We start from the raw sequence: 13,936 nt of genomic DNA, 5'->3' as shown, positions 1-13,936 counted from the left end.
TATAATGAGTATTTGGAGAATTCTAAGATACTACTAATACTGCCCTTACATGGCATTTGGAGCTGGATGATAAAATAGAAAATAAAATGAATAAAAAATACGGCCCTTATATATGTGATAGATTAATATATTACAAGCTTTTGTGAGACTGATCTGAGATCCTACACAGGATCTATAACATGATGGTTTCTAAGCAAAAGTGTTCCAAGCTCCAAACAACTGATTAACAAAAGAACTTTTAGAAATCAAATTGTTGTATGTAGGGCACTAAGACTACTAGCTCCAATCTCTGGGGCCGAGATTTCTTCTTTTTTTTTCAGAGACAGGGTCTCACTCTGTCACCCAAGGTAGAGTGCAATGACACAACCATAGCTCACTGTAACCTTAAATTCCTGGGCTCAAGCAATCCTCCCACCTCAGCTTCCTAAGTAGCTAGGACTACAGGTGTGTACCACCACACCCAGCTAATTTTTTTTTTTTTTTGAGATGTGGTCTCCCTATATTGCCCAGGCTGGTCTCAAACTCCTGGGCTCAAGCAATCCTCCTGCCTCGGCTTTCCAAAGTGCAAGGATTACAGGCATGAGCCACTGCACCAGGCCAATATTTATTTCTTATCCTTTTTTAGAAATGACAGAAAATCCTAAATGACCAGCATATAGTCTGCTACATGACTGCACTAATACTCTTGTTATCTAAATGCACATTTTAAGAAATACTCTATTAATCTGTAGTAAACTAGAAATGGTCTTTTCAGTAACATTTGTGATGTTAAAGAGCACATGTTTACCTTTCCTTCTGAGAAATCACATATCCATCTAGGACTCTGAGGTTTAGGCACCAGCTGACGATGTACGGCCGATAGTCAAATCCTGGGATGGATGGTGTTGCCATCACACAAGGATTGTTCATAATCGACAACTGTTCCAATTCAGTTAAGGATGCCAAAAAAGAGATCTGGAACAAAAGATATCTTTGTTGAACAAAAGGACTATTCAGTGTCAAGCACAAAATTTCCACTGATTACATATCTTTGGCAGCATTTGAGAATGTGATAATTTCCCTCTTGTTCTGAAAAGTGACAAGTGTCCATTGACTTCCAAAGTTTCAACAATATAGCCATCTGTCCCTGCTGCACAAAATCCCCTGGCAAATATCAGCACTGTTTCCTAGCAGAAATAACCCTATTTTGAAAACATCACAGCAGCCAGGAAAGGTGGACAGGGAGTCTTATAAACCCTTATAACGTAGATGTCCCTCTACCACCAATCGCCTCCCAGTGGAATGATAATTACAGCTTTACAAAGGAAATTAGACCTTAATGACCCACTGACACTAAGGAAAAGTGGAAAGATCTAGAGCCAAGCATTTCATATGAATGGCAGTTTCTTCCAAGATGCTCACAGTCTAAAAGTAAGCTCACAACCCTCTCCTGTGTCTTTCCTAGGATTTCCAGCTTCCTGAATCTCACAAAATACCCTCAAATTTTACCTCATTTAAGTCTCGGATTTCATTTTCTGCCAAAGAAAGTATAGCAAGACTTCTGGGTAGGTAAGCAGGTGCCATTCTAAGAGAGGTGATGATGTTTCCATGTAAAAGCAGGGTCTTGAAAGTAAAAACAGTATGAATTACAAATGAAAAGATTACAAATAAATTGGCCTATTGTGACAACACCAAAATGGTACATATAAGAATAAAGGAATCTACTTTATTATATTTCTCATCACACACAAATCAAAGACTGTTAATGCTACAAGGGTCCTTGATGATCTTCTGGTCCAACTCTCTGTTTTCATACCAACATCCTAAGCTCATGATATTTTAAAGACTTGTCCAAAAACACATGCTTGGCATAGCAACTAGGCATGCTGTGAGATTTAACTTATGAGACACTGAGCAATTTCTAACACACTTTTTCATTTTCTTTTAAAATATCAAAATAGAGGCCATGTGTGGTGGCTCATGCCTGTAATCCCAGCATTTTGGGAGGCCAAGGAGGGAAGATTGCTTGAGCCCAGGAGTTTGAGACCGGCCTGGGCAACATAGTGAGACCTGGTCTCTACTAAAAATCAAAAAATTAGCCAGGCATGATGAGGTGCACCTGTATTTCCAGCTACTGGGGAGGCTGAGGTAGGGGGATCACTTGAGCCCAGGAGGTCGAGGCTATAGTAAGCCATGACTGCACCACTGCACTCGAGCCTGGGTGACAGCAAGACTCTGATGTCTCAAATTAAAAAAAAAAAAAAAAAAAAGTCATTAAAACAACCACATATAAAGCAAATTTTCCAAAAAAGAGAGTGATAACCTACATCCATAATTGCAACTGTATTCTCTAGGTAACTAAAAAATAAAGGGAGGTAGAATGTGTTACTTGCAGATAAAGCTGACTCACATTAAGTCAGCAACAACCAAGAATAAACCCAAAACTGAACACCCAGGATTCTGATCAGATAAATAGGCTTCTATTCCAGCAAAAAAAAAAAAAAAAATTCAATCATCTTTGGTTCATTTGAATTCTCTTAGCATCTATTAGGACAACATCTGGCTACATCAAAATGTTTAGAATAATTATTGCTAAAAATGATTTCTGCTAAAGATCTGGGAAAAAGTGAACTAAGATACTGCTTCTAGGGCTTAATGAACATATCTGATGGTAATAATATCCAATGAGGCAACAATATTTAAAATGTTCTACATGTTTTTCAAGACTGTGATTTCAACTGTTACTTATTTGACTGCATGATACATTCCCCTCCATAAAAAGTGCTACATGCTACATGTTTTTTTCTAAGTGAAATTAATTTTGACAATTAGCTAATACCTATTACTTTAAAAACAGCAATTCTGAATGTCAAAAAAAAAAAAAAAAATCCAGACTTGGGACCCAGCGCAGTGGCTCATGCCTGTAATCCCAACACTTTGGGAGGCCGAGGCGGGTGGATCACAAGGTCAGGAGTTCGAGACCAGCCTGGCCAACATGATGAAATGCCATCTCTACTAAAAATACAAAAATTAGCTGGGCGTGGTGGCATGCACCTGTAGTCCCAGCTACTCAGGAGGCTGAGGCAGGAGAATCGCTTGAACCTGGGAGGCAGAGGTTGCAGTGAGCCGAGATTGCGCCACTGCACTCCAGCCTGGGCAACAGAGCAAAACTCCGTCTCAACAAAACAAAACAAAACAAAACAAAACAAAACAAAACAAAACAAAACAAAAAAACAGACTCGGCCAGTTCGGTGGCTCATGCCTGTAATCCTAGCACTTTGAGAGACTGAGGCAGGAGGACTGCTAGAGTCCAGGAGTTTGAGACCAGTCTAGACAACATAGTAAGATCTCATCTCTGGCCAGGTGCAGTGGCTCACGCTTGTAATCCCAACACTTTGCGAGGCCAAGGCAGGAGGATCATGTGAGGTCAGGAGTTCAAAATCAGCCTGGCCAACGTGGTGAAATCCTGTCTCTACTAAAAATACAAAAAATTAGCCAGGTGTGGTGGTGGGCGCCTATAATCCCAGCTACGCGGGACGCTGAGGCAGAAGTATCACTTGAACACAGGAGGCAGAGGTTGCAGTGAGCCAAGATTGCACCACTGCAACCACTGCTTGGGTTGCAGTGAGCCAAGATTGCACCACTGCTTGGGTGACAGAGCAGAACTCTATCTAAAAAAAAAAAAGAAAAGAAAAAGATCTCATCTCTACAAACACTCAAAAAATTAGCTGGGTGTGGTGATGTACACATGCCTATGGTCCTAGCTACTTGGGAGGCTAAGGTGAGAGGATCACTTGAGCCTGGGAGGTCGAGTGAGATTGTACTACTACACTCTAGCCTGGGTGACAGAGCAAGACTCTGTCTCAAAAAAAAATAAAGACAGACTCAAATTCAGGAATGATTAATCTCAACCTCACCAAAGATTATGTACTATATAATAACTGAAGTTACTAATATTGGTTGATTGGGCATACAGGGAATTCCATCATGTTCAGAGAATGGTAAATAAAATTAACCTTAACTACAATGACCAGTTTCACATCAAATAAATGAGTTATATAACTAACAACAAAAAGTTTCAAACTTAATTTCTGGTATTCTAACATAATTCCTTTTTTTTTTTTTGAGACTGAGTCTCACTCTATTGCCCAGGCTAGAGTGCAGTGACCCAATCTCGGGTCACCACAACCTCCACCTCCTGGGTTCAACCAATCCTGCTTTAGCTGAGTAGCTGGGACTACAGGCTCGCACCACTATGCCCCACTAATTTTTGGTATTTTTAGTAGAGATGGGGCTTTGCCATGTTGCCCAGGCTAGTCTTGAACTTCTGAGCTCAAGCCATCCACTCGCCTCAGCCTCTCAAAGTGCTGGGATTACAGGCATGACCCACCATGCCCAGCCCATAATTCTTATCATAAAGAAAGCAATCTGCTCATACAAAGCAGGCTAATTTTAGGTCAGTAAGATTACTTTCTCTTGGTATTTTGCTATAAAACTTCACAAATGACAAAGAAAACATACTTACTTTCAGGGATACCAATTTAGATAGATCACCTATCTGGGATATATTATTGTCTGATAAATCGAGATGCTGTAGAGCTGTGCAGCTATTGATCTGTTCCATGGCCTATCACAAGAAAAGCATCACACTATTTAATGAAAACAAAATCAAAAAATAAAATTATTCCCTAGTTCTTTGCAGCTGAAAGAGTGTCTTCCCTCCTCTTATTATTAGAAGCAGAGTAGAAGAACTTAGCAAGAGAAAAGGGGCAGTACTAACAGAATTTAGTAGATTGTCAGGTTGTAAACGTACACTTTCATTATCTCTCTATGAGTAGAGGGCTACCAAGTAGTTCATACCATCCAAGATCTTTACAGCTTGAAAAAAAACATAGTAATGGCCAGGCGCTATGGCTCACACCTGTAATCCCAGCACTTTGGGAGGCCGAGGTGGGTGGACAGCCTGAGGTCAGGAGTTCGAGACCAGCCTGGCCAACATGGCGAAACCCTGTCTCTACTAAAAAAATACTAAAAATTAGCCAGGCATGGTGGGCAGGCGCCTGTAATCCCAGTTACTCTTGAGGCTGAGGCAGGAGAATTGCTTAAACCCAGGAGGCAGAGGTTGCAGTGAGCCAAGATCGTGCCACTGCACTCCAGCCTGGACAATAAGAGCAAAACTCCATCAAAAAAAAAAAAAAAACAAAAGAAACCATAGTAATAATATATGACAGTTGGTGGTATAGAATAGAGTTTACAAGTTTAGATTAAAACCAAACAGCCTGGATTTACATTCTGGCCCTGCAACTTCCTAGCTGTGTGACCTTGAGCAAGTTACTTTTCTGTGCTTTAGTTCCTTCACCTTTATAACACGCATAATGTCTATATCTACTTCGCAGGCTACCATGAGATTGAATAAGTTAATACAGATAAATGTTTAGAACAGTAGCTCAGATACATTAATGGCTCAATAAAAGGCAGCTATTGGTAATCTAGTCCTCTCAGCTAGCATGCCAAAAAATAAGACGCAGAAATATGTATTAATTTACCCAAAATTACACAGTTACTAAGTAGTGCAAGTAGGACTAGAATTCAGATCTCCTAACTTTTAAAACTGTATATTCTCCCTTATAGCATTAAACATTTACTTAAAGCTTAATTCAGCATGATATAGTCTCCCTCCTAAACACTCTATGGTTTGATCTACTTTTTTCTAAGTACAATATAGATTCTTTGTTCAAATTTAAAAGAATATTATGTCATATTATATGTTTCAAAATGAGATTTATTTTTAGTTTATTTTAACAGAGATTATCCCTGGAGAGTGGGAGTGGGTACTTTCACTTTTTAATTTGACTTATTTCTACATTGCTTGAATTTTTTTTACGCAGAATAGTTTTGTAAACAAAAAAGAAACCATTCACCTTAAGATTATTTCCTGCCAAATTCAGCCATTCCAGATGTACTAGTTCCTTTAGCCCTTCCACACAGCCAATGCTATTATGAGGCAAATTTAATACACGAAGCAACGTCAGCTTGGCCACACCCATCATCCGAACCAGCCGATTATTAGCTACTGATAACTGTAAAAAGGAAACATATTGTTATTTTTAGGAATAACATATATAAAATATTTCACATTAAAGTGATTTAAAAGGTTTATTTAGACAGCCAAACACTCTCAAACAAACTCCTTTTGTACATTTCACATATATTGTCTAAATATTCTACAGTATGACTATCAGTTTTTTGTTATTGTTCCTGGGCAATAGAAAATACAGATAAAGCTGAGCGATCAGACCTCCTCTAACTACTAAGACATTTTTAACACAGCAACAACTTGAGAATGTAAGTTCCACAAGAATAGTGCTGTTAAACTCTCAGTCAAAACTTAATACAGTGCCAGACATATAAGAGGGACGCAGTAACCATTTCTTGAATGAAGGAATGAATGAACTCTTTACCCCCATCATGAGGTAAAAGGTTACCTTAGTAACACAGTATTTTGCAAAATAAAATGCTTCCTTTTCTTAACAATGCTTTTTTTTTCTAATCTACTCTCAATGTAGTACATGTATGTTCATCTTCAGAAGAAACTGTCATGTAAAAATTTAAGGCAACAATGACTGCTTGCTAGGGCTGCACAGTTACTTTTTGTCAGGTTATTTTATTGTTTTGTTTAATAATAAATTGATCCTATGTAACCATTTCCCAGATTGCAATACCTACCTGTATTAATCGTTTGCATTTCTCCAGATTTTCCAATTTAATAATCTGATTTTTATCCAGAATCAAAGTGTGAATATCAGCTTCACAGGGTAAATTTGGACCTAATTTCTGTAGTCCCTGTCCTGACCAATTGACCACTGATCCTTGAAAAGAAACGGAAATGTTAGAAAACACAAATAAAATAAAACATGTACAACAGCTAAGCATAGGGCTGGAATTATAAAATCTCTATACCATTTCAAGTTAAAGAACAGTAGAGCATAATAAATATCAACATTGTAAAATTAAAGCAATCTTGAGTTCTAAATGACCAGATTGAATTACTCATTTTTCTTCAGAAATATCAAATTAAAACTAGACGTGTGATATTCTCCTCAAGTTGCTAAGATATACTTTGAAAATTTTCACATTTAAATATGGACGATTACTTCCATTTGTTGTGCCTAAGTAATGATACTATTGTTTAAATGTTACTAAACTTTTGACTGCAATCCACCAGCTTACAGCCTAACTACCAATATATCCTAAAGTGCCCAAACTGTGATTTTGAAAATCAAAGTATAGTTCAACTAATTCTCCCATAAAATAGGATAATACACCCATTTCCCTAGCTTGATATGAGAATTAAAAGAGAAACCATATGAATAGTACTTAGCCCCGTTCCTGCCACCGGGCACTCAATAAGGCACTTTAGTATAACATAGACGTTCAAACCCTGGCTCCACCAATTAACCATTGTGGTATATTAGGCAAATTATTGATTTCTTTTGGGCTCCCTTTTCTACTCTGTAAAGTGGGGATAATACCTGCCTTATAAATGTAGTTCTACAGAGAAAATGAGATAATGTAAAAAAAAAAACAAAAAAAAAAAGGACTGAGAACATCGCCTGGGTCATACAAAGTGCTCTGTAAATGTTAACTGCTATTAACAGTTAAGTAGCCCTGGTGGGCTTGAGAGGTGTGGTTTAAGAAAAGCCGATCTCCAAAGAGGGCGGGGCCAGAGAAACGGCCAATTTCAAATTTACACCCAGATTAGGACTACTGCAGGAAATAATTATGCCAGATTGCTCTCCTGGAGGATTTCAACGTTTTCCCGTTGTCTAATGGCTCTTAGCATGTGAGGAGTCGTGAGCCCCTCTGAAAAATTGATGAAAGGGGTGTGCTGTCTCAGAAAAGTGCACAGCCTTTGTACACAATTCCAAGGGGTCGACAGAGAGGTCTGAGAACCATCCACCAACTCTTCCCCCAAGAATTTACAGCTCCCAGAAAATGCACTCCTGGTCTAAGCCATGAAGACGGGCCTCGACCCCTGGGCCCTGTCCCCGATTTAGAGGACTGACTGCTGCCAAGCCTCGGAGCTGTAACCAAAACAAAAGCAGCTCGCGTCCGGCGCCCCAAAGAGGTAGGTATCTTCAGGCCACAGAAGCACCCACACAGTCCTGTGCTCTACTGGGCAGCGACCAAACTCGATCCTAGGACCCGTGTGCAAGAACAAGGAGTACAGAACTGCGGGCTCTGGATCATCCCTTAGATTTTATCACGGCCACTGGCCACCTCCGAGGAAGGGTTCAAAGCCAGACTAGGCAGCGGTCTCTGAGGGAAGGTTTTCCTGATGGTTCCAGGAACCAAGAAGAGAGGGAGATGTGTGAAGCGAAAGAGGGAGATCCCAAACATTTCGCTTAGGCACCCATGACTCAAAGTAAATGGTCAAGAAAGGTCATCGCAGCCCGAAATCCACCGCCTCCTCAGCATCGGGAGCGCGGGAGCCAGGGCGCCGGGCCGCGCGAAGGCTTCTGGGGGCTGTAGTCCCCCGCTCGGCCCTCACCGCGACGCCGGAGAGCTGGGAACGGCAGGTGAACTACAACTCCCAGAGGGTAGCCCGCCTCCGCGACGACCACAGATCCGCATCAAAAGAACTGGTCCAGAACTGCACATCTAAACCTAGGTTTTCTGCTCTCCACTATTTAATTCAGCTCCGTGAAGTAAACCTTAGGACTCGGGGTAGGGATCGCCTTACCTTCTCCGGGAGGCAAAGCCGCGTCCACGCGCGCCACCGCCATATTTGCTGCTTGCTAATAATACCAGGCAACCGTCCTCCCGCGGCTCTGTGGAGCTTGTAATCTGAAGGAGGGAGCCGGAAACTATAACTCCCAGGATGCACGGCTCCCAGACGGCCCAATTGGCTGCTTACGCCTAATGATGTGAAGCTGGAGTTAGAATCTGAGGGTAGTGAGCTCAGGGACCCTGGCCCACTCGCTTATTTGACAGATGAGTCAACTGCGTTATTAGATGATCATTTCACTTCCTTGTCCAGGCGTTTGCGAAATTTGACACTTTTACCATCGGGATGATTGTAAGGAAGCTACTTAATGCAGACTGCATTTTACAACTCATTGCTGGAAGTCTCTGTGGGGGCTGCTCCATTCTTTTGATAATTGTGAATAAGTTGAAAGTTTTCAACTCCGCTATAGGAATGACCGATCTTGTTGAGATCATAAAAGTGGATACATTTTATTTGAAATTTTAGTTAAGTAAAAGTAAAGTATGCCGAAATAGAAACTTTTATACAGTATTTTTAAGTGATTGTTTGATTGTTCTTGAATATTTGACAAATCTTTTGACTTACGGGTATAAGTATGAACCAAGAACTTTTCCAGGGAGTATTCAAAATAACTTTAAAATATAATCTCCAGGCCGGGCGCAGTGGTTCACGTCTGTAATCCCAGCACTTTGGGAGGTCAACGCAGGCTGATCACCTGAGGTCGGGAATTCGAGACCCGCCTGGCCAACATGGAGAAACCCCGTCTGTAGTAAAAATACAAAAAAATTAGCCTGGCGTGGCGGCGCATGCCTGTAATCCCAGGTACTCGGGAGGCTGAGGCAGGAGAATCGCTTGAACCCGGGAGGCAGAGGTTGCAGTGAGCCGATATCATGCCACTGCACTCCAGCCTGGGCAACAAGAGCGAAACTATGTCTCAAAAATATATATATTTTATATAGATATTGCATATATTATAATTATATATAAATTATATATTATATATGTTATATATTTAGATATTATATATTATATGTTATATATTTAGATATTATATATTATATATGTTATATATTTAGATATTATATATTATATATGTTATATATTTAGATATATTATATATGTCATATATTTATATATTATATATTATATATGTTATATATTTAGATATTATATATTATATATGTCATATATTTAGATATTATATATTATATATGTTATATATTTAGATATTATATATTATATATGTTATATATTTAGATATATATGTTATATGTTATATATTTATATATTATATATGTTATACATTTATATATTATATATGTTATATATTTATATATTATATATTATATATGTTATATATTTATATATTATATATTATATATGTTATATATTTATATATTATATATTATATATGTTATATATTTATATATTATATATTATATATGTTATATATTTATATATTATATATGTTATATGTTATATATTATATATGTTATATATTTATATATTATATGTGTTATATATGTTATATATTATATATTATATATGTTATATATATTATATATTATATATTATATATGTTATATATTATATATTATATATGTTATAGATTTATATATTATATATTATATATGTTATATATTTATATATTATATATTATATATGTTATATATTTATATATAAATATAGATTATGTATATAAATATATTTTTATATAGTCTCCAAATTCAAGAAATACATTGCCTAGTTGGAAGAAAGCAGGCTCACACTTTTTTCTTTTTTTTTTTTTAGAGACAATTTTTTTTTGCCCAGGCTGGCCTTGAACTCCTGAGCTCAAGTGATCCTTCTGCCTCAGCCCGGCAAAGTGCTGGGATTACAAGCGTGAGCAACGGCGCCGAGCCTTCTTTTGATGCAACTATTATATGCTAAACGGTGTGATTGTGACTGAGCTCACTAATATTTCAGGGAATTGAGAAAGAAATAGAATCTGAAATCTTCAGTGAAGACTTGATGGAGGAAGTAAATGTACCCATCTTTTGATGGGTAGACTGAACAGTTAGTTCTAAAGTAAAAGGTGAAAAGACAGCACAGGCTGCAGGTGGTAACGAAGTTGTGCTCACAGGAAGTGAGAAACTAAACAGAGTATACAAAAAACTTCTGCTTTCTACTACCAGCTCTCCCACTTCCTCTTGCAACCTTTATTCTGAACTCCCCTCTTTCTGAAACAGCAATCTGCAAAGTCTGATCATTTTTGCTTGGGAAAATCTAGTAATTCATGCTTCTAGATTTCCAGGCACTGGATTCTCTGAGCATTCCCCCTTTCCTGGGTTCTCCTATCTCTCTACACTTGTTTTAACTCCTTTCGATTCTTGTTTCCTGCTGCTTTGGTCTAAAGACAAATTTCCTAGTTCTGAAGGGGCAATTAAGACTAGGATTTTTTTCCTTTTAACCAAGAAACTCCTTACCTAGAGAACACAATCTTACTATATGTGTAAGAACAAAGTAAGGCCGGGCGCGGTGGCTCACGCCTGTAATCCCAGCACTTTGGGAGGCCGAGGCGGGAGGATCACCTGAGGTCAGGGGTTTGAAACCAGCCTGGCCAACATGGCGAAACCCCATCTCTACTAAAAATACAAAATTAGCTGGGCATAGTTGCACATGCCTGTAATCCCAGCTACTTGGGAGGCTGAGGCAGGAGAATCGCTTGAATCTAGGAGGCGGAGGTTACAGTGAGCGGAGATTGTGCCACTGCACTCCAGCCTGGGCAACACGAGCAGAACTCTGTCAAAAAAAAAAAAAAGTAAGGAAAGAAAGAAAAGAAAGAAAGAGAAAAGAAAACAAAAGAAGAAGAACAAAGCAAGCCTGAATACTGCCTCTGCTAACCCTTATTCCCTGGAATAGGCCATAGGGATCTGGGAGAAAGGGTTTATGGTTCTTTACAATTTAGCATGGTAATTACTTGATAGGGAGTCCTGGAAGCTTAAAAGGTACTTAAGAAGCAGAGGTTCCTGCAAGTTTACAGCAATAGCTGAAACATTGTTTGCCTGGTTCATCTGCCCTGGAATCCAGAGGAAAGGACCAAAGGACTTTTTTTATGCAGCTAAGTATAGTCACGGCTTTTAAAGTAAGTAGCCAGATGTTCCTGGGCAAGGTCTCACATGCCCAAGTGACTCAGCAACGCTTTAAAATTACTGCACAGAAATTCTTTTGTGCTTCAAATAATAGCTTTTACGCCTAAAATCAAATTGCTACACTTTAAACTGCCTCATTTTGTATATATGTTAAACTCTATAAGCTCAAACCAAATTAGGATTCTACTACTTAAAACTATGAACCTCTCAGTAAGGTAATGTTTCTCTGGCAGGCCCAGGCCCTATGAGAAAGACTTTCCTATCAGCACAGTATACTTAATCCCTACGACAGCTGATTACCCCGATCTTTGCCATCTCTAATTCATCTGCCCACAGTTACTGGCATGATCTAAGTAAAACAATGCCTTTTAGCATGTTATTCCCCTCTCAAAAACTTCTCACTTTAAGTTCAACTTGCAAGGGCCACCATAATGTGGCTTCACCCTACCTCCCACCGTTCATCCTACTCGTTTTCATTTGGTGTTTTTGAGTGAGGGATTGATATAATGATACTTGTGTTGTAGAAAGGTTAAACTCATATAACAAGGATGAATTGAAAGTAATAATAGAATTGAAAGGAAGAAGGCAGGAAGGAGATTGTCGTAATAGAGCCTGGTAACCTTCAACAGCGGTTTCAGGAGAGTATTATAAACAAGTTTAGATAACACGAAGTTAAGAGACTAGGTAGACAAGAAACTGGAACATTTGTGGATGGTGCAATTTACCTTGAGAAAATGAAGGTGGTTTTCTAATTAGGATTGAAATCATATTTGAAAGAAGTAAATGTAACTTTGAAGTTTTCATTCAAGTTTTAAAATGAAGAAGTTACTAATGTAAAGAATTTTGACACTGTAAAGATTTGGAAAATATGCGAATATTTTAACAATAAAAAAACCTTTTTTTTTTTTTGACACAGGGTCTTGGTTTGTTGCCCAGACTCGAGTGCAGTGGTACAGTCCTGGCTCACTGCAGCCTCGACCTCCTGGGCTTAAACAATCCTCCCACTTCAGCCTTCTGAGTAGCTGAGACTACAGGTGCACACCACCACACCTGGCTAATTTTGGTTTTTTTTGTAGACAGAGGTCTCACCATGTCGCAATCCTCCTGCCTTGGCCTCCCAAAGTGCTGGGATTATAGACGGCCACCATGCCTGGTTTAACAATAAAAAATCTTCATGCAAAGGTTTAGGTGCATAAAATTATAAATATCTCCTTTCTTGATTAATATTCATGTGTAGACTCTTCCGGTCCTGCTTCCTTATCTATAACCTATGGCATGGAAAGAGAGATTGCCAATATTCACAGGTTATCCAGATGGCCCAAATGAGATTAACTTTCCTCAGTTATTATTATTATTATTTATCTCCTGCTATGTGGTAGGCTTTGTGATAACTAGTTTACATATATTGGTTCTAAATTTCACAAAATCCCTACAAGTAGATGCCAAGAGGTTATGTTACAGTTGTTGGAAACAATATAGGACACCCAGTTAAACTTGAATTTCAGATAACAATGAATAATGTTTTAGTATAAGTATGTCCCAAGTATTCATGTTGCAATATACATCTTATGCAATACTTACATGCAATATTTAGGACATAGCTATATATAAAAAAGTGTTGTTTATCCAAAATTCAAATTCAACTGGTGTCTCATATTTTTATTTGCATTTATATTTATCTTGTTAATTTCCAGCAACCTAAAAAGAAGGACAGACAGAATTTTGGTTTTGTTTGTTTGCTTTTTGAGATGGAGTCTTGCTCCATAGCCCAGGCTGGAGTGCAGTGGCGCAATCTCAGCTTACTGCAACCTCTGCCTACAGGTGCCCACCACCATGCCTGGGTAACATTTGTTTCTGTTTTGTTTTGTTTTGTTTTGTTGAGACAGGGTCTCACCCTGTCACCCAGACTGCAGTGCAGTGGCGTGATCTCAGCTCACCGCAACCTCTGGCTCCTGGGTTCAAGCAATTCTCCAGCCTCAGCCTCTTGAGTAGCTGGGATTACAGGCATGAGCCACCCCACGCCCAGCCATAATTTTGAATCCATGTTCAACTACATATT

General features: G+C 38.7%; 1 protein-coding gene across 5 annotated transcripts in view, besides 4 other annotated features; it reads right to left on the bottom strand.

Annotated features, from left to right (window-relative positions):
• Nucleotides 1-8,828, bottom strand: part of CEP97 (centrosomal protein 97) — a 45,949-nt gene extending 37,121 nt beyond the window's left edge. For 2 of the 5 annotated variants that reach the window (NM_024548.4, NM_001303401.2), the window contains exons 1-6: nucleotides 8,723-8,828; nucleotides 6,706-6,848; nucleotides 5,901-6,059; nucleotides 4,505-4,606; nucleotides 1,489-1,602; nucleotides 788-954 (exon numbers count right to left, since the gene is read on the bottom strand). In NM_024548.4, coding sequence (NP_078824.2) covers nucleotides 788-954; nucleotides 1,489-1,602; nucleotides 4,505-4,606; nucleotides 5,901-6,059; nucleotides 6,706-6,848; nucleotides 8,723-8,765 — 728 coding nt within the window. In that variant the 5' untranslated portion in view covers nucleotides 8,766-8,828. Of the gene's footprint in view, nucleotides 1-787; nucleotides 955-1,488; nucleotides 1,603-4,504; nucleotides 4,629-5,900; nucleotides 6,060-6,705; nucleotides 6,849-8,722 lie in introns of those variants that run through there. The other 3 variants (NM_001410784.1, NM_001410785.1, XM_047448917.1) reach the window with 2 other exon arrangements.
• Nucleotides 7,350-7,961: an enhancer, noted in NCBI's record as "NANOG-H3K27ac hESC enhancer chr3:101444325-101444936 (GRCh37/hg19 assembly coordinates)". NCBI's record gives its function as "activates a minimal SCP1, AML or CMV promoter by ChIP-STARR-seq in naive H9 embryonic stem cells {active_cell/tissue: H9 hESC(naive)}" and the evidence as "EXISTENCE:reporter gene assay evidence [ECO:0000049][PMID:30033119]".
• Nucleotides 8,133-8,202: an enhancer, noted in NCBI's record as "active region_20178". NCBI's record gives its function as "activates an Ori minimal core promoter by ATAC-STARR-seq in GM12878 lymphoblastoid cells {active_cell/tissue: GM12878}" and the evidence as "EXISTENCE:reporter gene assay evidence [ECO:0000049][PMID:35858748]".
• Nucleotides 8,483-8,852: an enhancer, noted in NCBI's record as "active region_20177". NCBI's record gives its function as "activates an Ori minimal core promoter by ATAC-STARR-seq in GM12878 lymphoblastoid cells {active_cell/tissue: GM12878}" and the evidence as "EXISTENCE:reporter gene assay evidence [ECO:0000049][PMID:35858748]".
• Nucleotides 10,989-11,048: an enhancer, noted in NCBI's record as "active region_20176". NCBI's record gives its function as "activates an Ori minimal core promoter by ATAC-STARR-seq in GM12878 lymphoblastoid cells {active_cell/tissue: GM12878}" and the evidence as "EXISTENCE:reporter gene assay evidence [ECO:0000049][PMID:35858748]".

This window comes from Homo sapiens, chromosome 3 (genome assembly GCF_000001405.40).
Source record: "Homo sapiens chromosome 3, GRCh38.p14 Primary Assembly".
Classification (NCBI taxonomy): domain Eukaryota; kingdom Metazoa; phylum Chordata; class Mammalia; order Primates; family Hominidae; genus Homo; species Homo sapiens.
Note: the sequence above shows the minus strand (reverse complement) of the source record. Positions and strands in the feature narration are given on the sequence as shown.